This window comes from Homo sapiens, chromosome 3 (genome assembly GCF_000001405.40).
Source record: "Homo sapiens chromosome 3, GRCh38.p14 Primary Assembly".
In the NCBI taxonomy this organism is placed as follows: domain Eukaryota; kingdom Metazoa; phylum Chordata; class Mammalia; order Primates; family Hominidae; genus Homo; species Homo sapiens.
Window position 1 is genome coordinate 196,886,936 of NC_000003.12, and position 22,545 is coordinate 196,909,480.

The following is a 22,545-nucleotide window of genomic DNA, read 5'->3' on the forward strand; positions in this document are numbered from 1 at the left end:
TTTATACATTTGTTTCTGTAAGCTAAATTCTCATTATTAGAATTGATGGTGAAGGAATATTCACACTTAAAATTTTAAGATAATTAAGTTACCCTCCAAAAAGTTGAACCAGTTTACATTTGTTAAGCTTTGGCAGTCTTACAGATCACAGAGTTTTGTTTTAATTTGCATTTTTGAGTTTTAAGTTTGAACATCTGTTTCTGTGTTTATTGGCCACTTTTTTGTATGTGCATGGTTTTCCTTTGCCTATTTTTCTTTTTTTTGAGATGGAGTCTTACTCTGTCGCCAGGCTGGAGTGCAATGGTGAGATCTTGGCTCACCACAACCTCCACCTCCTGGGTTCAAGTGATTCTCCTGTCTCAACCCCCCGAGTAGTTGGGATTACAGGCACCCGCCACCATGCCTGGCTAATTTTTGTATTTTTAGTAGAGATGGGGTTTCACCATGTTGGCCAGGCTGGTCTCGACCTCCTGACCTCACGTGATCCACCCACCTTGGCCTCCCAAAATGCTGGGATTACAGGCGTGAGACACCGTGCCCTGCCCCTTTGCCTATTTTTCAACTGGATTGTTTCTGTTTTTTTTTTTTTAATATAGGAGACGCTCAATGTACCAGGCACTGTGCTGGTTCCTAAGAATGTAGCAATGAACAGAATATATGACCTTCAGGGAACTTGGTGTCATTCTAGTCATAAAAATGTTTAATTGCTGATTATAAATGTCATAAGAATGGTCCCTCACGAAAGGTAAAAGCCTTCAGTACCCCAAAATTGTTTGATATTTTTGCTTAATAGGAGTTTTCAGTTCTTACATAGTAAAACTTATCTGTCTTTTTTTATTTTTTATTTTTTGGAGATGGAGTCTTGCTCTGTCACCCAGGCTGGAGTGCAGTGACGCAATCTCGGCTCACTGCAACCTCTGCTTCCCGGTTCAAGCAGTTCTCCTGCCTCAGCCTCCCAAGTAGCTGAGACTACAGGCACACGCTACCATGCCCGGCTAATTTTTTGTATTTTAGTAGAGACAGTGTTTCACCATGTTGCCCAGGCTGGTCTCGAACTCCTGAGCTCAGGCAATCTGCCCGCCTCGGCCAGTCTGCCTAAAGTGCTAGGATTACAGGCATGAGCCACTGCGCCTGGCCTAAAGCTTACCTATATTTGACTTTGAGGCTTCTAGTTTTTACGTCATGCTTTAAGAAGCCTTCTCTTGTCAAAAATCTATCCCATAAGGTAAACTGGTGTAAACATTTCTTTGGAAGACAATATGATAGTATAAATTATGGCCCATTCAGGCAATAGTTTGCTAGCAGCTGTTTAAGAATATAGATCTATATTTTGATACTGAAAGATGTCTATATAAAGTGAAAACAGGCCAGGTGCTGTGGCTCACGCCTGTAATCCCAACACTTTGGGAGGCCGAGGTGGGCGGATCACCTGAGGTCAGGAGTTCAAGACGAGGCTGATCAACATGGTGAAACCCCATCTCTACTAAAAATACAAAAATCAGCCAGGTGTTGTGGTGCGTGTCTGTGATCCCAGCTACTTAGGAGGCTGAGGCAGGGAGAATCGCTTGAACCTGGGAGGCGGAGGTTGCAGTGAGCTTAGGTTATGCCACCGTGCTCCAGCCTGGGCGACAGAGCGAGACTCTCTCACAAAAAAAAAAGAAAGAAAAAAAGTGAAAACAGTAAGTTGCAAAATGGTATGAAACCATTTTGTTAAAAGATATATATGACATATGTAGGATGAGTGTGAGTATATATGTGTGCATATGCATTTGTATAGGACATCTGGACAGATATTATTACCATTGGCTTTGGGGAGCTAGTTAGGAGGTTTATTTCTTGGTAGTTGAAACAGTTCTGAGCACTTTCTCTTTCCAACCATTAAGTATAATAAATTCTTCTGGCTGGGCACGGTGGCTCATGCCTGTTATCCCAGCACTTTGGGAGGCCGAGGCGGGCGGATCATGAGGTCAGGAGATCGAGACCATCCTGGCTAACATGGTGAAACCCCGTCCCTACTAAAAATTTAAAAAATTAGCCGGGCGTGGTGGCAGGCGCCTGTAGTCCCCACTACTTGGGAGGCCAAGACAGGAGAATGGTGTGAACGGGGGAGGCGGAGCTTGCATTGAGCTGAGATCGTGCCACTGCACTCCAGCCTGGGCGACAGAGCAAGACTCTGTCTCAAAAAAAATAAAAATAAATAAATTAGTAAATAAATTCTTCCTCATAGAAAGACACAAAGTACAGAGTCCTAGCAAATTAAAAAAAAAAACAACACCAAAAAACCTCTTGTCTATACTGTCCTAGAGTAAAGCCAGATTTCCCTACTGAGGTTAGCAGACCCATGATACTTACACCTGAAAAGAATTAGCATTTACCCACAAATGCCAGTTAACCTTTATAGATGTAACACTTTCAAGTACGGTTGATAAATTGAATATGCACGTAGTAAAACCTGTAGCATGACCTGAGGAAGTAGGAATTCTTACAGAATTCATGTGTAGTGACAATATAATTCACTATTTTAATAGGCCAAAGGGGAAAAAAATGGTATCTCAGCAAGTGCTGAAAAACCTGTTAGTAAAATTGTTTCCTTTTGGGTTTAAATCTCTTAGAAAACTAGTAATAAAGGAAGCTTCCTTGAATTACTAAAGAATATCAATCAGAAGCCAATAGCAGTTTCAGGTTTAAGAGAATGAAGTAAGCTCATGGACTCTCTTCTTCCTCCTACCAAATCCATAGAAATTATGAAAAAATATTAAAAACACATGTGTCTTCATACTCACAAATGAGGAGACAGTTTTGGTAGATCAGAAACTGAGAATCAGCTCCCACTGGGCAAAAAGTAGAGGGAAGGTCCAGGCGGGCAGAAGGAAGATTAGTACAGGGAAGTGGTGTGATACTGAGTGCTCATATTTCTGGAGATGGTGGAAGTGGAGAGGAAAGGGGACACCCATGGTAAGGACTGAGTAGTTGGGGAATCTCTCCCTGCCTGTGCCACATGTCAGCAAAGAACAAATCTGTTATCAAGCCAAAATTCTAAGGACAAGAGACAGGATACTCACCCACACACGTACACCTTGTAACACTTGGCAAGAGTGAGGAACATCCATTTTCAGAACAGCTGCTGGGGTTCTTAGTGTCCTTATTCCCACTGAAAATAGTTCAAGGCAGAGCAGCAGCTACTGCCCATTATAGCCCTTTGCCCTCAATTCTCAGCAAGTTACCTAAGTAGAGATGAACTAACAGTCTATCACCATCCTCTGAGAAAAGCCAACACAATGAAATAGACAAATTCAGCAAATAACAGAACTAAACCTCAGTATTGATTAATGGGGCAATGAGTACAATAGATAATCCTTTAAGGGACTTCTACAACATTAGCCACTATTGAGTTCTGTGGGGTGCTGAATGCTGGCTTGTCTCTAATATGACTGCACATTATGCTCCTTTCAGTTGATTTACATGTTTAAGAGTCAGTTATACTTAGGGGAGATTTACTTGTTGCAGTTTCATAATTTTATTCAGTATTACATAAAATGATGAAATATGAGTGTAAGAAGAAAGCTCCTCCTTTGAAAAACAAGGTGAATACTTTGCAATGACAGTAGCGGGTTGCTGCAAAAAAATGAATGCTGATGCGCTCATGCAGGACAGCTGCAAAAGATTTGAGGGCGTGCGTGAAAGTCTAGGACTCTGCACTGAGATTACTTTGCAAGTTCTTTAAGTTCTTGCTTCGCTTTAAAGTTCTAACCTCTATGTCATGAGTATGCCAGGAGATAATGGAAGGGAAACTGAAGAAATTAGGAATGTTTTCTAGAACTGAAAAGAAAGGTCTGAGTCTAAAGTTGAAAGGCTTTGCAAGTGCCAATCAGGATTAAAACACACAAATACATACACAAACTCACACTAAATTTAGTGTAGTAAAATTATAGCACATCCAAGAGAAATAACTTGGATGGTTACTTCTTTTGGAGGGAAAAGGGATAGATTCCTGTGCCGCAAAACATTCCAGATGGATTAAAAGTTTGGCTAATTAAAACCAAATACACAGAAATGTGTACACGAATGCTTGTAACAGCATTGTTCATAATATCCAGAAAGTGAAAACAACCTAAATGTTCAACACCTGATGAATGGATAAATAAAATTTGGTATATCTATACAATGGAATATTATTCTATAAAAGGAATAAACACCGATATATACTTAAATGTGGATGCACCTTGGAAGCATGCTAAGTGAAAAGCCAGACACAAAAGGCCTTATAACATATGATTTCGTTCATTTGAAATGTCCAGAATAGGCAAATACATAGAGATATAAAGTAGATTAATAGTTGCCAGGAGCTGGGAAGAAGGGGAATGAGAGGTGACTGTTAATGGGTATAGAGTTTCTTTGTGGGGTAATGGAGGTGTTCTGGAATTAGGTAGTAGTGATAGTTACACAATCTGAATATATTAAAAAACAGTGAATTGTGTTCTTTAATGGGGCAAATTTTGTGGTGTGTGAATCACATCTCAATAAAGCTGTTAAAAAGAAACAAATATAGGCCGGCCATGGTGGCTCACATCTGTAATCCCAGCACTTTAGGAGGCTGAGGCAGAAGGATCGCTTGAGGGCAGGAGTTTGAGACCAGCCTGGGCAACATAGCGATATAAATACATAGAGGGATGTATATAGATTTAGCGAGACTCTATTGCTACAAAAAATAAAATTATCTGCATGTGGTGGTGCATGCCTGTAGTCCCAGCTCCTCAGATGGATGAGGTGGGAGGACTGCTTGAAGCCAGGAGTTTGAGGTTGAAGTGAGCTATGGTAGCTCGACTGCATTCCACGCTGGGTGACAGCAAGACCTTGTCTCTCTCTTTTTTTTGAGACGGAGTCTCACTCTTTCTCCCAGGCTGGAGTGCAGTGGCGTGATCTTTGCTTACTGCAACCTCTGCCTTCTGGGTTCAAGCGATTCTCCTGCCTCAGCCTCCGGAGTAGCTGGGACTATAGGCATGTGCCACCACGCCCGGCTAATTTTTTGTATTTTTAGTAGAGACGGGGTTTCACTGTGTTAGCCAGGATGGTCTCAATCTCCTGACCTCATGATCCACCTGCCTCAGCCTCCCAAAGTGCTGGGATTACAGGCGTGAGTCACCGCGCCCGGCCGACCTTGACTCTTAAAAAAAGAAAAAAAAAATACAGGAAATCATTCTTTTTAAGTTTTTGGTTTCTTTGTTTGTGACAGAGTCTCCCTCTGTCTCCCAGGCTAGAGTGCAGAGGCGTGATCTCAGCTCACTGCAAACTCCGCCTCCCGGGTTCAAGCGATTCTCGTGCCTCAGCCTCTGGAGTAGCCAGGACCACAGAGGTGCGCCACTATATGCCTGGCTAATTTTTTGTATTTTTAGTAGAGATGGGGTTTCACCATGTTGGCCAGGCTGGTCTTGAACTCCTCACCTCAAGTGATCCGCCCGGCTTAGCCTCCCAAAGTGCTGGGATTACAGGCATGAGCCACTGTGCCTGACCTAAAGATTATTTTTAATTGACAAAATTCTATATATTTATGGGGTACAATGTGATGTTTTGATATATGTTTACTTTGTGAAGTAAATCAAGATAATCAGCATATCCATCACTCACTTCGTCGTGAGAACATTTAAAATCAATTCTCATCTATTTTCAAGACACAGTACATTATTATTAACTATAGTCACCAGACTGTACAATAGATCTCTAGGACCACTTCCTCCTGTCTAACGGAAGCTTTATGACCCTTGACCAACATCTTCCAATTCTCTGCCCCACCCCCAGCCCCTGGTAACTACCGTTGATTCTCTACGTCTATGAGTTTGACTTTAGATTCCACATGTAAGTGAGATCATGCAGTATATTTTTTTGTGTCTGGCATATTTCACATATTATGCTCCAGATTCATCCATGTTGCAGATGACAGGATGTTTTAAGGCTGAATTGTATTCCATTGTGTATATATACTACATTTTCTTTCTCCATTCATCCACTCATGGGCATTGAGGTTGATGCCATGTCTTGGCTATTGTGGATAGTGCCGCAGTGAGTATGGGGTGCAGGTACCTCTTCAACACACTGATTTTATTGTCTTTGAAATACACTCAGAAATGGAATTGCTGGATCATATGGTAGTTCTATTTTTAATTTTTTGAGGAACCTGTATACTGTTTTCCTTCATGGCTGTGCTAATTCACATTCCCACCAACAGTGTACAGGGTTCCCCTTTCTCCACATTCAAGTCCTTTGCCTGCTTTTTAAATTGGGTTATGTTCTTGCTATTCGTTGTTTGAGCAGGAGACCATTTTTATAATCTTATATTGATAAGACATTTTTGCCCATAATAGGAAGCTCAGAAGCAATGAAAATATACCAAATTGACTCTACAGACATTTAAATCTTGTGTGCATGTGTGTGTGTATAGCAAAAGTTAGATGAAAATTTAAAAATTTAGATATGCATGCCCTTTTACCCAGAAATTTAACTTGTAGTAGGTGTGTCCAAGGGAAACAGTAGAACTAGGATAGATCAAGAGTTTTAATTGTTACATTATTTAGAGGTAAAAATAAATGGCCATCAGTAGGGAATTGGTTACAATACAGTATGCATTTTTTCAGGCAAAAGAGAACTGTCCATGATATAGTGAATGGAAAAAAGCAGCTTCAAGAAGAGTAAGTTTAGGCCGGGCGCGGTGGCTCATGCCTGTAATCCCAGCACTTTGGGAGGCCGAGGTGGGTGGATCACCTGAGGTCAGGAGTTCAAGACTAGCCTGACCAATATGGTGAAACTCCGTCTCTACTAAAAATACAAAAATTAGCCAGGCATGGTGGCATGCGCCTGTAGTCCCAGCTACTTGGGAGGCTGAGACAGGAGAATTGCTTGTACTTGTGAGTTGGAGGTTGCAGTGAGTTGAGATCGCACCACTGCACTCCAGCCTGGGTGACAGAGTGAGACTCTGTCTCAAAAAAAAAAAAAAAAAATTTAGTGTGTTTAAGAAATACATGTTCAAAGGGCTTGAAAGTCCAGAAGGAATTATGGGCTCACTGCCATTTATTTAAAAATATTTATGGTCGTGTATGAGAAAAAATAACTACTTAAAAGGTTGTTTCCACATATAAAGTAAATGTTTATAAAAATGTCCAACTCTTTTTTTCTAGATATTAATGTGGTTTTTTTTTTTTTTTTTTTTTCTGGAGACAGAGTTTTGATCTTGTTGCCCAGGCTGGAGTGCAGTGGCGTGATCTCGGCTCACGGTGGCCTCCACTTCCTGGGTTCAAGCAATTTTCCTGCCTCAGCCTCCCGATTAGTTGGGATGACAGGTGCCCGCCACCACGCCCGGCTAATTTTGTATTTTTAGTAGAGACAGGGTTTCTCCATGTTGGTCAGGCTTGTCTCAAACTCCCAAACTCAGGTGATCCGCCCGCCTTATCCTCCCAAAGTGCTGGGATTACAAATGTGAGCTACTGCCCCCGGCCTAATGTGTTATTTTTAATTTAGTGCTTTGGAAAAAAGTTAAGGTAGATCCTTACCTCATTCTTTACACCAAAATGAATTCCAGCTGTTAATAAAATATTTAGTTGCGAGTTCTTTTTTTTTTTTTAAATTTATTCCCATGGGTCTGGGAACCAATGAAATTAGTTGGTAGTTCTAATACTGTTTATTGAGTGATTTGCTCTTTTCCCTGTGGTTCAGAAATGCAACCTACCACAGAGTCTCTTTGGATTTGATCTCTATTCCATGCTGGCTCTATTTGCCTTAATTAGCGTAGTTTTATCATTTGACAGGACCTGGCGCTCCTTATTCACCTCTCTCCTTTAATTCTTTTCAAAAATTTCTAGGAATTTCTCACATTTTTGTCCCAAGGTAAATTTTGGATTTATTTTGTAATCTTTTAAAAAAGTATGGTTTTTACTTGTTGTTGCATTATATTTATAGATTAATTTAGGGACAGTTGCTTTCATTGCAAAAGACTTCCTGTCCCTTAGTCATATTTCGCATCTTTTCACTTAGGTTTTGCGCATTGCTTATGTTTGTTCTTAGATACTGTATACCTTCCTTACTGCTGATGGGCCCGTTCTGAGGTATGCACTGTGTTTTGTTGGAGAACCATGTGCTTGCATTTCTTACGTGCACAGCACGGGGAACCTCATTCCACATCCAGGGTGGAATGTGACCCAGGTCAGTTGCATCAAACGAAAACTGTCCAGTGCCGTTAGTTTAACATGATGGCTACTTTTAACTTCTTTTTTTTTTTTTTTTTTTGAGACGGAGTCTTACTCTGTCACCCAGGCTGGAGTGCAGTGGCATAATCTCAGCTCGCTGCAAGCTCCGCCTCCCATGTTCACGCCATTCTCCTGCCTCCCGAGTAGCTGGGACTACAGGCGCCCGCCACCATGCCCGGCTAATTTTTTGTATTTTTTAGTAGAGACAGGGTTCCACCATGTTAGCCAGGATGGTCTCGATCTCCTGACCTCGTGATCCACCCGCTTCGGCTTCCCAAAGTGCTGGGATTACAGGCGTAAGCCACCGCGCCCGGCCTTACTTTAACTTCTTTTTTTTAAAAAGTTCTTTTTTATTTTTTCAGTTATTTTTGAGGCAGGGTCTCGTTCTGTTGCCCAAGTTGGAGTGCCGTGGTGGGATCTTGGCTCACTGCAGTCTTTGCCTCCCAGGCTCAACCCATCCTCCCACCTCACCCTCCCGAGTAGCTGGGACTACAGGCATGTGCCAACATGCTTGGCTAATTTTTGTATTTTTTGTAGAGAAGCGGTCTCACTTTGTTGCCCAGACTGGTCTTGAACTTCTGAGCTTAAGCAATCCTTCTGTCTCAGCCTCCCAAAGTGTTAGGATTACAGGCATGAGCCACCGTGCCTGGCCGGGTACTTTAAATTCTAAAATGACACCTCAGGTTTTGTTTTTTATATTACTACCTTTTGTACTTGCAGAGTGCTCTGTAATTTGAACTCCAGTTTTTGTTTGTTGTTTATTCCTAACATTTTATCCTTTGTTTCTTGGGTCACTTTGAAATTTTAGTACTTTGGGAGTAAAATAAATTGTGTATACCAATTGCATTTTTCCTTTTTTAGTTGATCAGTTTAGTGAAAGCAAGTGGGTAAAGAATGGTGGATTTAACTGTCATTTTATAAAATCTGTTTCTGAGTAAAATAAATTGTATATACCAAGTGCATTTTTCCTTTTTTAATTGATTAGTTTAATGAAAGCAAGTGGATAAAGAATGGTGGATTTAACTGTCATTTTATAAAATCTGTTTCTGGATAGTTCTTGGCCCACAGATATTAAAAAGGAAAGGTGAAGAACCAAGTTGTTTTTGTAGAGAAAAGATAACAGATATTTCTTGCTTTGTAAGTGGCATGACATGATAGTTAACAGCCCAGTTTCTGTAGTCACGGTACCTACAATCAGGATCTTAGTTCTACCATATGCTAGTTAAGTGCCCTTGGGGAGGTAACAACCTCTCAAAGCTTCTAATGTCTCCATTTGATTGACTGGTTGATTGATTGATTGATTGAGATGAGGTCTCGCTCTGTTGCCCAGACTGGAGTGCAGTGGCATAATCTCGGCTCACTACAGCCTCTGCCTCCCAGGTTCAAGCGATTTTCCTGCCTCAGTCTCCCAAGTAGCTGAGATTACAGGCACGCTAACATGCCCGGCTAATTTTTGTAGTTTTAGCATAGACAGGGTTTCACCATGTTGGCCAGGCTGGTCTTGAATTCTTGACCTCAGGTGATCCACCCGCCTTCCAAAGTGCTGGGATTACAGGCATGAGCCACCGCACCTGGCCCAGTGTCTCTATTTGTAAAGTAGGGATACTATCTTAACACCCAGGGAGGCTATAAGAACTAAATGAGACAGGCTAGTGCTTGTCTTATGAGTATTTTTTAACTGTTGTTTTACTTCTGGTCCCAGTGAGATAATGGTGTGTGTAAGTGAGACACTGTCATCTAGGGTTCTCCTTGAAGATCGTACCTTGAAGGGCATTTCTACCGAATAAGAAATCCATGTTTATCATCTGAAAATGAAAATAAAGATACAGATAAGAGGAAAATGTGTAATAATTTAGAATCTCCATCATTCTACCACCAGAAATAACATTGTTAACAAGAGCACCATGATACTAGTTTGAAATTCACATCCATATCCCATTGTGGGGGACACTGCCTTCTTATTTGAGGAGCCTCAATCAAAGTTGTGGGGCCTAAAGTTTAATTTTTATTGTTGTTAGGGGTATTATTTTACAACGAAAAATAATTCTCAATGCAGTTTCTCAAATGGTGGGATTCCTTATCTTCCACTGGGCCCATTCCCCCATGTAGACACAAGGTTATGATTAGGTAACTGTAAGATGTGAAATAGTAAACACTAGAGGCAAGTATATGGTCTGTTCCTAGATTAGAAGCCCCAAATCTTTATCTGATACCCTGATGAAGTTGGAGCATGGGACTATCTTCCTGTCTACTGTATTTGCCCAAAGCCTAGAGCAGAATGGACGTGAGAAAGGACCTCTTTTCTGTTTACTGTACCCTGACCTTTGCTCCTATGTTAAGCCTTGAAAATTGAGAGGTACTCTGGTGGGAGATTAACAGGAGGAAAAATAAATTGTTCACTTCTTTGTCTGTCTCTCCCCTCATAAAAGACAAAACACTTCATTCCCAAGACACTCTTATCATCTTTTCTATCCTGTTTATATCAATGCATGGCAGAGGCCATTCTTGGAGTTACAAAGGGAGCTGGTTAAGATATGTGGCTAACAATCCTCATTTTTCCTGTCTTAACTCAGCAGACTTAACCGTCAGACTGATGGTTAGCTAATTTGTTGCTCTGCCCATTCAGCATTGGTGAACAACCTAAGTCATGTCTGTACTTCTGTGAGCGTCTAAGCCTTGCCTCAGCTTTTTTGTATTTACTTAGAAATAATGTCCTGGGTGGCCAGGCGCGGTGGCTCACACCTGTAATCTCAGTACTTTGGGAAGACAAGGCAGGTGGATCACCTGAGGTCAGGAGTTCGAGACCAGCCTGGCCAACATGGTGAAACCCCGTCTCTACAAAAAAAAAAAATACAAAAATTAGCTGGGCGTGGTGGCGGGCGCCTGTAATCCCAGCTACTCACGAGGCTGAGGTAGGAGAATCACTTGAACCCAGGAGGGGTGGGTTGCAGTGAGCCGAAATCGCACCATTGCACTCCAGCCTGGGTGAAAAGAGCAAGGCTTTGTCTTAAAAAAAAAGAAAAAAGAAAAGAAAGAACGTCCTGGGTTTATTTCCTGGGGCTTTTCTAGGTTCAGTGGATCATTCAGGGATATATATAAGCACATATACATGTTACTTACATTTACCTGAAGACTGTCCTATGGTGTGGCCAAAAAGCCACCTTTAAATTTTATTTCTCATCTTGGGAGGCTGGAGCGAAAGGATCACTTGAGGCCAGAAGTTCAAGACCAGCCTGAGCAACATAGCAAGACCCTCATCTTAAAAAAAAAAAATTAAAAAATTAGCTGGGTGTGGTTTCACTTGCCTATAGTCCCAGCTAACTATCCAAGCAGGAGGATGGCTTGAGCCCAGGAGTTTGAGGCTGTAGTGAGCTATGATTGTGTTACTATGCCCCAGCTGGGATGATAGAAAGAGACCCCATCTCCAAAAAATTCTATTTACTGTCTTAAAATGTGCTTCACTAGCTGGGTGTGGTGGCTCACGCCTGTAATCCCAGCACTTTCTGAGGCCGAGGCGGGCGGATCACAAGGTCAGGAGATCAAGACCACCCTGGCTAACACGGTGAAACCCCTCGATGATAGTTCCATTCGATTCTATGCGATGATTCCATTCCATTCCATTGGAAGATGATTCCATTCGAGACCATTCGATGATTGCATTCAATTCATTCGATGACGATTCCATTCAATTCCGTTCAATGATTCCATTAGATTCCATTTGATGATGATTCCATTCGTCTCTACTAAAAATACAAAAAAATTAGCCGGGCGTGGTGGCAGGCGCCTGTAGTCACAGCTATTTGGGAGGATGAGGCAGGAGAATGGCGTGAACCCGGGAGGTGGAGCTTGTAGTGAGCAGAGATCGTGCCACTGCACTCCAGCCTGGGCAACAGAGCGAGACGCCATCTCAAAAAAAAAAAAAAAAAAGTGCCTCACTAGCTGTTATCCAGTTGAGCTCACCTCACAGCGTTATTTGGTGTCATGAGTATAATAACTTATCAAGATGTATGATATTGTCCCTTGCTGATACTAAAGTACATACCTTTACCAAATAATAGAGTCACAGTGATCTCATCAGTTAATGCTAATTGTGATTTTAAAATAATAATTCTTTCAGTTACCAAAAGGATAGGCACATTTGACTATGTGATTAAGCCCTTTAGAAGTCACGCTTTAAGAGAAGGTTAAGCTGTGGGAAGCTGTTAGTATTTCCTTCTAGCTATCCATTCCTTCTCTAACAATGCTTCAGTAACTTAAAAATCTAATGTGAAATGATTCCTCACAGTATGTCTCTCTAGATTGCATTGGTTAGAGCCTAATATATTTTATTTTTTACAAAAGACATAACTTTAAAAATATAGTATCAATATTATATAGTAATATAGGTTAACCACTGTATGTGTTAAGTGCTGTGTATAGGTTAAGTGTTTGGAGAATGACTCTACTGAAAATGGCTTGTTTTTCCATCTTAACTTTTCTTTCTTCCTTTATTTAAGGATTCCTAGATGAGGTTATGAAGAAGTATGGCAGTTTGGTTCCACTCAGTGAAAAAGAAGTCCTTGGAAGATTAAAAGATGTCTTTAATGAAGACTTTTCTAATAGGTATATAAATGATGCTAAAGTTAAGCCCTTGAAAATAAAATTTTTGGCATATATGACTTTTCTCTTGATTTACAGAAGAAAAGATATTTAGCAGTAAATTGAGAAGTACTCATGTTTTTTTTACCTTTTGTTTCAAAATCTTTCTCTTTCAGAAAACCATTTATCAATAGGGAAATAACAAACTATCGGGCCAGACATCAAAAATGTAACTTCCGTATCTTCTATAATAAACACATGCTGGATATGGACGACCTGGCGACTCTGGATGGTCAGAACTGGCTGAATGACCAGGTTAGTATATTGTAGTTTTTCAGTGTGGAGAAGTTGCAGAGGATGTTAGTCAATAAAATATAATCTCTAGTTTGGCTTCTCAGTTGTCTTTTGGAATAAGGATTCTTCATTCTTTACTGGTTACTTGCCCCAGGATCCAAACGGTTTGATTACTATTGGCAGTAATAATATATTATTTATTCTGATTGGGATGTACTGAATTGTATAGGGTTAGTAGCCTGGTTTTATTTATTTATTTTGTTTTTCTTTCTCCAACTTAACTGGCAGAGATAGTAAGCTGGTTTTATGTTGACTTTTTATAGGTCATTAATATGTATGGTGAGCTGATAATGGATGCAGTCCCAGACAAAGTAAGTGAAAACTTCCTCTTCTGCAGGAGAGAGTGTTCTTGTGTATTAAAATGAGTAGTTTTTTTGTTTTTACATTTGATGTAATTATCTGACATTCCTTAAATTTTTTAAAAGAAGAGTTCAATTTTTTCTTGATCATGTACTGGGCTTGATCGTAAGTTCCATCAAATCACTTCTTTTTGTTCTTTTTGAGATGGAGTTTTGCTCTTGTTGCCCAGGCTGGAGTGCAGTGGCGTGATCTCGGCTCATTGCAACCTCCACCTCCCGGGTTCAAGCGATTCTCCTGTCTCAGCCTCCCGACTAGCTGGGATTATAGGCATGTGCCACCATGCCTGGCTAATTTTTGTATTTTTAGTAGAGACAGGGTTTCATCATATTGGTCAGGCTGGTCTCGAACTCCTGACCTCAGGTGATCCACCTCTGCCTTGGTCTCCCAAAGTGCTGGGATTACAGGTGTGAGCCACAGCGCCTGGCCCCATCAAATCACTTCAGCATAAGAAAATCACTGTGCAATTGTTTTCCTATTTATTTGTGTTAGGGTAGGTATGTTTGTTGATATCTGGAGAGGGCCTTTTTTTGGTGGGGAGATGTGCAAAAGGGACTGGCTAAGCTTTTTACATTTATGTATTTATTTTACTTTTTTTTTTTTTTGAGACCGAGTCTTGCTCTGTCATCCAGACTGGAGTGTAGTGGCGTGGTCTTGGCTCACTGCAACCTCCACCTCCTGGGTTCAAGCAATTCTCCTGCCTTAGCCTCCCAAGTAGCTGGGATTACAGGTGTGTGCCACCATGCCTGGCTAATTTTTGTATTTTTAGGAGAGACAGGTCTTACCATGTTGGGCAGGCTGGTCTCGAACTCCTGACCTCTGGTGATCCGCCCACCTCCCCCTCCCAAAGTGCTGGGATTAAAGATGTGAGCCACCATGCCAGGCCAGCTTTTTACATTTAACTTAAAATCTTGCTCTCTTTAAAAATGTAAAAAAAAACTCATCTTTCATTTTTCCTTAGATAAATCTTTGATACTCAGTTCAAATACAGATTGAACCCTCATAAACTCTAAATTCTCTTAAGAGTTTTGTTACATATCAAAACTATTTTTTTACTTAATGTATTTTTCTGAGTACACAAATGCCTGATGGGTGCAAAAATTTCCAAGTGCTGTATAAAACTTACCAATCTAATAAAGTAACATAAATACTAAAAAGTCAGATTCTGATACCGTTTATGAATATAGAAAATGTTTTATGACTTTCCACTTAAATTATAAATCTGTTATACATTTATAAATTGGAATCATGAGGCTAATCTGCTAGATGCTCTATTGTCAAATTCTCTTAATCATCAGAAAGTTTAAACAATATAGATTATCTTTAACATAAAAGTATTAATTTCAAGGGTTTCATTTACCACCATTGTACATTTAATTCTAAACATTCATGGAGTCAAAAGGACACTTAACTAAGGCAGTGGTTCTCAAAGCATGGTCCCCATACTAGCAGCATCAGTATCCCCTGAGAACTTACTAGAAATGCACATTCTGAGACTCCATCCCACACCTACTGAATCAGAAACTGGAGGTGGGGGACCACCGATTTGTGTTTTGACAAGCTCTCTAGATGATTCTGATGGACACCAATTTTGAGAATCACTGCTCTAGAGACAGCTACTATAAGCTCTTTCTTATTTATTTGTTTTTATTAAAATTATAAAACATAACCTTCTTTTTAGAGACACTAAAAAGACACTCCAGGCTGGAATGCAGTGGCACAGTCATAGCTCACTGTAGCCTTGAACTCCTGGGCTCAAGCAATCTTCTCGCCTTAGCCTCCCAGGTAGCTGGGACTAGAGGCATGTGCCACTGTGCTACTATACCCAGCTAGTTTATTTTTATTTTTGGTAGAGCCAGGAGTCTTGCTATGTTGCCCAGGCTAGCTTGAGCTCTGGGCTTAGCTAAAGTAATCCTCTCACCTCTGCCTCTCAAAATTGCTGGGATTAGAAGTGTGAGCCACTATGTCTGGCAGCTCTTTCAGTCTGTATGTTAAGCTGCATGGTTATCAAAAGAATGTGCCTCAGAACCGTCTGAAAGGTTTATAAAACCAGATTACTGGGCCCTGCCTTCAGAGTTTCTGCTTTAATAGGTCTGGGATGAGGCCTGATAATTTGGATTTCTAACAAGTTCCTAGATGATGCTGACACTACTGGTCAGGTGACCACACTCTGAGAACCACAGTGCTAAGGGAACAGTTTTATCACCTCAAGTTACTGAATGAGCACTTTAAGATCACAATATGTTTACCCTCTAAGATGAGCTGATATACCACTTACTTATAAGTCAGAAATTCAAAGCCAAGGACGCAGGACCTGATACTCTGTACAGCCAGGGTAATTCTGTGGTACTAGAAATAATCATGCCAAGGCCTTTTTATGGTTACTGTAACAACAGGAGTCTCTAAATCCACATCCTTCACATGGAGTTAGTTTTGTAATCCATCTCCCTTGAGTTCAAGGTAATTGTTACCTCATTTTTTCATAGCCTCTTTCAGCTTTTTCACCTGATTTAGAGAGATTTGTCAGGTTGCTTCTCTACTTGATTGGATTCAGGTAGTCTATTTACTGCCCCATTCCAAAGCTGACTATAGACCACAGCTGTAAGGTCATTCCAATAAAACTTTGGAACAGCATTTTCTGTAAACCATGTAATGTATTTTCTATATTTTGATCATTATTATCATTATTATTATTTTTTGAGACGGAGTTTTGCTCTGGTGCCCATGCTGGAGTGCAGTGATGTGATCTCAGCTCACTACAACCTCTGCCTCCCAGGTTCAAGAGATTCTCCTACCTCAGCCTCCTGAGTAGCTGGGATTGCAGATGGGTGCCACCACGCCCGGCTAATTTTTGTATTTTTAGGAGAGACAGTGTCTCACCATGTTGGCCAGGCTGGCCTCGAACTCCTGACCCCAGATGATCCACTTGCCTCCTCAATCATTGTTTTTATGAAGAAATTTTTCCTTCCTTTTTGTCTGCTTTACATTCAAACATTTTAAAATTTCCTCTTTTGAAGTTAAATCTGGGCACAGCCTAATATAATCTGGTTGCTTGTGTTTGTTGTCTGTTCTAGGTTCACTTCTTCAACAGCTTTTTTCATAGACAGCTGGTAACCAAAGGATATAATGGAGTAAAAAGATGGACTAAAAAGGTATTCTCTTTATTTCTTTTTTATTCCAAATTTGAAACGCAGATGATAAACCACTTTGTGTGGAAGGATAAGTACTTTAATGCCAATACGATGTTAAGTAGAAACAGACTTTTTAATGTGACAAGTTTTAAATTTGTTTCTTTTAAATCTTATTGTTTGAAAGACCTTAATTGCCTACTGGTCCCAATTATAGTGGTAGAACAGTGGGATGATAAAGAAGGAGCTGCCATCATTTGGTGTTATCTGGTAGGCTTGTCAGCAGACAGCAGAAGCTTTCAACAATTTTTTGCTGGTGCTGGGCACGGTGCCTCGCACCTGTTGTCCCAGCTACTTGGGATGCTGAGACCAGAGGATCACTTGAGCACAAGCATTTGAGGCCAGCTTGGGCAACATAGCCAGATCCTGTCTCTTAAAATGTTAACTGATCCATCAGGAGAAATAACTTTTATATCACAATCTATTCATAAAATCTTATACATACATGTAATTGAAATAATTTCCAAAAACCATGTACCTAATTTACTATGTATGATGTACTCTAGTCAGAGAGTGGTAAGTGCTATTTGCTATGGAAACATCAGAACACAGTATGAGAATACAAGGTAACTGGGATAGGGTAGCAGGAGGAAGATGGGCTAGTTCTTTTAGATAGGCTTGTCAGCAAAGGCCTCTTTGAAGAGATCCCATTTCACTGAAAACTGTGAAGATCAGAGGAGCATTCCCAGTAGATGGAAGAGTGAATGTTAAAGGCCCTGAAGCAGAAGTGAGTTTGGTATATTGGAGTATTACACACATGAGATCAGGGAAGGAGGCAGGGATCAAGTCATGTGGCGCCATATAGGCCCTGGTAAAGAGTTTGGATCATGAGGGCAATTTGAAGACATTAGAGAGTTTAGGCCAGGTGCGGTGGCTCACGCCTGTAATCCCAGCACTTTGGGAGGCTGAGGTGGGCGGATCACTGAAGGTCAGGAGTTTGAGATCAGCCTGGCCAATGTGGCGAAACCCTATCTCTACTGAAAATGCAAAAATTAGCCGGGCTGTGATGGTGGGCGCCTGTAACCCCAGCTACTTGGGAGGCTGAGGTGGGAGAATCGCTTGAACATGGGAGGTGGAGGTTGCAGTGAGCCGAGATTGCACTATTGCACTCCAGCCTTGGTGACAGAGCGAGACTCCATGTCAAAAGAAAATTAAATAAAAAATAAAAATGAAGACATTAGAGGGTTTAAGCAGCAGGCAAGGAGTGTGTATGAGTGTGTGTGTAAATGATAGATAGGATTGTCCTTAGCAACATTGATTCATTCATTCATCATTTATTTATTGATTTATTTTTTGAGATGGAGTCTTTCAGGCGCTATCTTCGCTCACTGCAACCTCTGCCTCCTGGGTTCAAGCGATTCTCCTGCTTCAGCCTCCTGTGCAGCTGGGATTACAGTCACCTGCCACCGTACCCGGCTAATTCTTGTATTTTTAATAGAGACGGGATTTCACTATGTTGGCCAGGCTGGTCTCTAACTCCTGACCTCAGGCAGGTGATCTGCCCGCCTCAGCCTCCCAAAGTGTTGGGATTACAGGGTAAGCCACCGTGCCCGGCATTAAACATTTATTGAGTACCTGTTATGTGCCTATATGGAAAAACTTTTTTCCTTTGCTGTCACACCACAACAGTAGTCAGCACAGAAGACTTCTGTGACCAAAGCAAGCAAGCAAGCAGTTCTGCAGCGACCACTGGCTGGATGCCCTCTAATTCAATTCCGACCTGTCTACCTGGAGACAGTGCCACGTCCCATAGTTTGAGGGCTCATGCCTCAAGAGTGCCCCCCACCCACTTCAGACACCAGTTGCAAGTCCAGGCTTCTGAAACTTCTGACCAACAGACTTCAAGTGAGGGTTCCCATGCCGCCCTCCTTGAATTTGATTAATTTGCCGGAGCGGTTCACAGAATTCTGGGAAGTTCTTACCTACATTTAGCAGTTTATTATATAGGATATTACAAAGGATTCAGATGAAGAGATGCATGGGAAGAGATGTAGGGGAGTGGGCACAGGGATTCTCTAGGACCTCCACAGGCACATCACCCTCCAGGAACCTCCACATATTTAGTATCCAGAAGCTCTCCCAGTGCAGTCAGTTTTTATGGAGGCTTCATTACATAGGCGATTGACTAAACCAGTGACCATTGGTTAACCTTTAGCTTCTCTTCTCTCCCTGGTGGTTGGGGGGTTGGGTGGGGCTGAAAGTCACAATCCTCTAATTCTGCCTTGCTCTTATCCTAAAGCCACCTAGCAGCTGCCAGCCATCAGTTAATCATCAACATACAAAAAGACATCACTTTGGGCCTGGGTCATGTCCCCGTAATCCCAGCACTTTGGAAGTCTGAGGCAGGCAGATCACTTGAGGTCAGGAGTTCAAGATCAGCCTGGCCAACATGGTGGAACCCTGTCTCTACTGAAAATACAAAAATTAGCTGGGTATGGTGGCATGTGCCTGTAGTCCCAGCTACTTGGGAGGCTGAGACAGGAGAATCGTTTGAACCCAGGAGGTGGAGGTTGCTGTGAGCCGAGATTGCACCACTGCACTCCAGCCTGGGTGACAGAGCAAGACTTTCTAAAAAAAAAGAAAAAAAGACATCAGAAATTCCAAGGACTTTAGGGAGTTGTATGCCAGGAAATGAGGTCAAAGACCAAATTTATTATTTTACAGTATCATAGTGCCAGACATTATAGTAAATCAAGAAATAAAGAGGTAAGTAAAACAATATTAGAGACAGTTTTTGCTTTCACAAAGTCTGCAGTCTAGTGGTGGAGACAGCACCTACCACAGTTTGTATTTATATTTTTGGTGGTGTAATTATTTGTTTAGTGGGTACAAAAGAAAAGTACTACAGGAGTGTATTGGAATGCAGGTTTGGTTAACCTAGCCTGAGGGTAAGGGAATGTTTCTCATAGGAAGTAATATTTAAGCAGAAATATCAAAGATGAATACAAGTTAACTAGGTAAATGGAGAATAGGGGTATGTGAAACATAGGCAGAAGGAATAAGTATCTGGTAGAAGAATGGGAAAAGGCTAGTGTAGCTGAAATGCAGAGAGTTAAGAAGACAGTGGCATGAAGTGTACCTGATCCACAGATCAGGGCCTTGAGGTTTGTATTTTGGATTTTATCCTAAATGTAATAGGAAACCATTGAATGGTTTTTAGTGACATTATCCACTTTGTAGTCTTTGTTCTAACAGTACTGAAGAAGATGGATGGGTATGGGAGCAAAGTTGATGTGGGCAGAACAGGAGACCATTTCAGATTCATGGTACTTTGAAGTAGAATGATAGCAGGAGAGATGGAAGATGAGTGTGATGTAGGAAGTAAAATTAACAGGATTTGGTGATAAGTTGGTTATGGAGATGAAGGACAAGGAAGTGTGAAAGATGACTTCCAAGTATGTGACTTGTATGACTGGACGGCCTATGGTTGTATTTACATTAGAAAAATGTAGGACAACTAGTAGAGGATTGTTCAAATTTAAAATGTACAGTCATATAATTGGATGCTACTTAAGCAGGAAAAGCTGTGTAGATAATGAACGATGGGCCGGGCACAGTGGCTCACATCAGTAATCCCAGCACTTTGAGGGGCCGAGGCAGGCGGATCACGAGGTCAGGAGATAGAGACCATCCTGGCTAACACGGTGAAACCCCATCTCTATTAAAAATACAAAAAAATTAGCCGGGCGTGGTGACGGATGCCTGTAGTCCCACTTACTCAGGAGACTGAACCCAGGAGGCGGAGCTTGCAGTGAGCCAAGATCGCACCACTGCACTCCAGCCTGGGCGACAGAGAGACTCCGTCTCAAAAAAAAAAAAAAAAGATAATGGAAGATGCTTATATTCCATTTGGGGTGGGAAAAATTACAAGCAGTGTGGGCAAAAAATATACATTCATGGAAAAGTATCTGAATGATAAACATGAGAGTGAAAGAATAAAGTCAAATATGTGAGTTGTTTCATTAAATAATAAACTAAATTATTCCTTCCTCTAGATCAGGGGTGTCCAATCTTTTGGCTTCCCTGAGCCTCACTGGAAGAAGAAGAGTTGTCTTGGGCCACACATAAAATACACCAACACTAACAATAGCTGATGAGCTAAAACAAAAAAAATTGCAAAAAAGATCTCATAAAAGAAAGTCTACAAATTTGTGTTCGGCTGCATTCAGAGCCGTCCTGGGCTGCATGCTGCCCGTGGGCTGTGGACTGGACAAGCTTGCTGTAGATCCTCTGAGATTGGGTTAAGTAAAAAAAAAAAAAACCCAGGTTTATGCTGAATATAAGAAGTATACATAAAATAATATGAAAAAGAAAGGTTGAAAATGAAGTGACATTTAAAGAGGCTGGGCGCTGTGTCTCACATCTGCAGTCTGAACACTTTGGGAGGCCTAAAATTACTGTAGATGGGAGGATTGCTTGAGCCCAAGAGTTTCAAATCAGCCTAGGCAACCAAGCGAGACCCCGTTTCTATAAAAAATTTAAAAAACTTAGCTGGCCATGGTGGCAGCCTGTGGTCCCAGTTATCCAGAAGGCTGCGGTGGGAGGATCACTTGAGCCTGGGAGGTCGAGGCTGCAGTGAACCCTGATCACGCCACTGCACTCCTGCCTGGGTGACAGACTGAGACCTTGTCTCAATTTAAAACAAATAAAAAAGGCAACTACAGGAAAGTTAAACAACCTGTTCCTGAATAACTCCTGGGTAAATAAAGAAATTAAGGCAGAAATCAAGAAGTTCTTTGAAACCAATGAGAACAGAGAGACAATGTACCAGAATCTCTGGGACACAGCTAAAGCAGTGTTAAGAGGGAAGTTTATAGCACTAAATGCCCACATCGAAAAGCTGGAAAGATCTCAGATCAACATCCTGACATCACAATTAAAAGAACTAGAGAAGCGGCTGGGCGTGGTGACTCATGCCTGTAATCCCAGCACTTTGGGAGGCTGAGGCGGGTAGATCACCTGAGGTCAGGAGTTTGAGATGAGCCTGACCAACATGGAGAAACCCCATCTCTACTAAAAATACAAAATTGGCTGGGTGTGGTGGCACATGCCTGTAATCCCAGCTACTTGGGAGGCCGAGGTAGGAGAATCACTTGAACCCGGGAGGTGGAGGTTGTGGTGAGCTGAGATTGCGCCATTGCACTCCAGCCTGGGCAAGAAGAGTGAAACTCTGTCTCAAAACAAACAAACAAAAACAACAACAAGGAAATAGAGAAGCAAGAGCAAACAAATCCAAAAGCTAGCAGAAAACAAGAAATAACTAAGATCAGAGCAGAACTGAAGGAGATAGAAACACAAAAAAACCCTTCAAAAAATCAGTGAATCCAGGAGCTGGATTTTTTGAAAAAATTAACAAAAAATACCTCTAGCTAAACTAAAGAAGAAAAGAGAGAAGAATCAAATAGACACAATAAAAAATGATAAAGGGGATATCACCATTGACCCCACAGAAATATACAAATTACTATCAGAGAATACTATAAAGACCTCTACACAAATAAACTAGAAAATCTAGAAGAAACGGATAAATTCCTGGACACATACACCTTCCCAAGACTAAATCAGGAAGAAGTGGAATGTCTGAATAGACCAATAACAAATTCTGAAATTGAGGCAGTAATTAATAGCCTACCAACCACAAAAAGCCCAGGACCAGATGGATTCACAGCCAAATTCTACCAGAGGTACAAAGAGGAGCTGATACCATTCCTTCTGAAACTATTTCATAACAATTGAAAAGGAGGAACTCCTCCCTAGCTCATTTTATGAGGCCGGCATCATCCTGATACCAAAACCTGGCAGAGACACAAAAAAAGAAAATTTCAGGCCAATAT

The 22,545-nt window shown here is 41.3% G+C and overlaps 1 protein-coding gene across 6 annotated transcripts in view, besides 1 other annotated feature; it reads left to right on the forward strand.

Moving 5' to 3' along the window:
- Positions 1–22,545, forward strand: part of SENP5 (SUMO specific peptidase 5) — a 66,795-nt gene that overhangs the window by 19,016 nt on the left and 25,234 nt on the right. For 5 of the 6 annotated variants that reach the window (NM_152699.5, XM_005269310.4, NM_001308045.2 and 2 more), the window contains exons 3-6: positions 12,731–12,836; positions 12,989–13,127; positions 13,430–13,477; positions 16,598–16,675. In NM_152699.5, coding sequence (NP_689912.2) covers positions 12,731–12,836; positions 12,989–13,127; positions 13,430–13,477; positions 16,598–16,675 — 371 coding nt within the window. Of the gene's footprint in view, positions 1–12,730; positions 12,837–12,988; positions 13,128–13,429; positions 13,478–16,597; positions 16,676–18,009; positions 20,645–22,545 lie in introns of those variants that run through there. The other variant, XM_047447674.1, reaches the window with a different exon arrangement.
- Positions 11,653–12,160: an enhancer, noted in NCBI's record as "OCT4-NANOG hESC enhancer chr3:196625459-196625966 (GRCh37/hg19 assembly coordinates)". NCBI's record gives its function as "activates a minimal SCP1, AML or CMV promoter by ChIP-STARR-seq in naive H9 embryonic stem cells {active_cell/tissue: H9 hESC(naive)}" and the evidence as "EXISTENCE:reporter gene assay evidence [ECO:0000049][PMID:30033119]".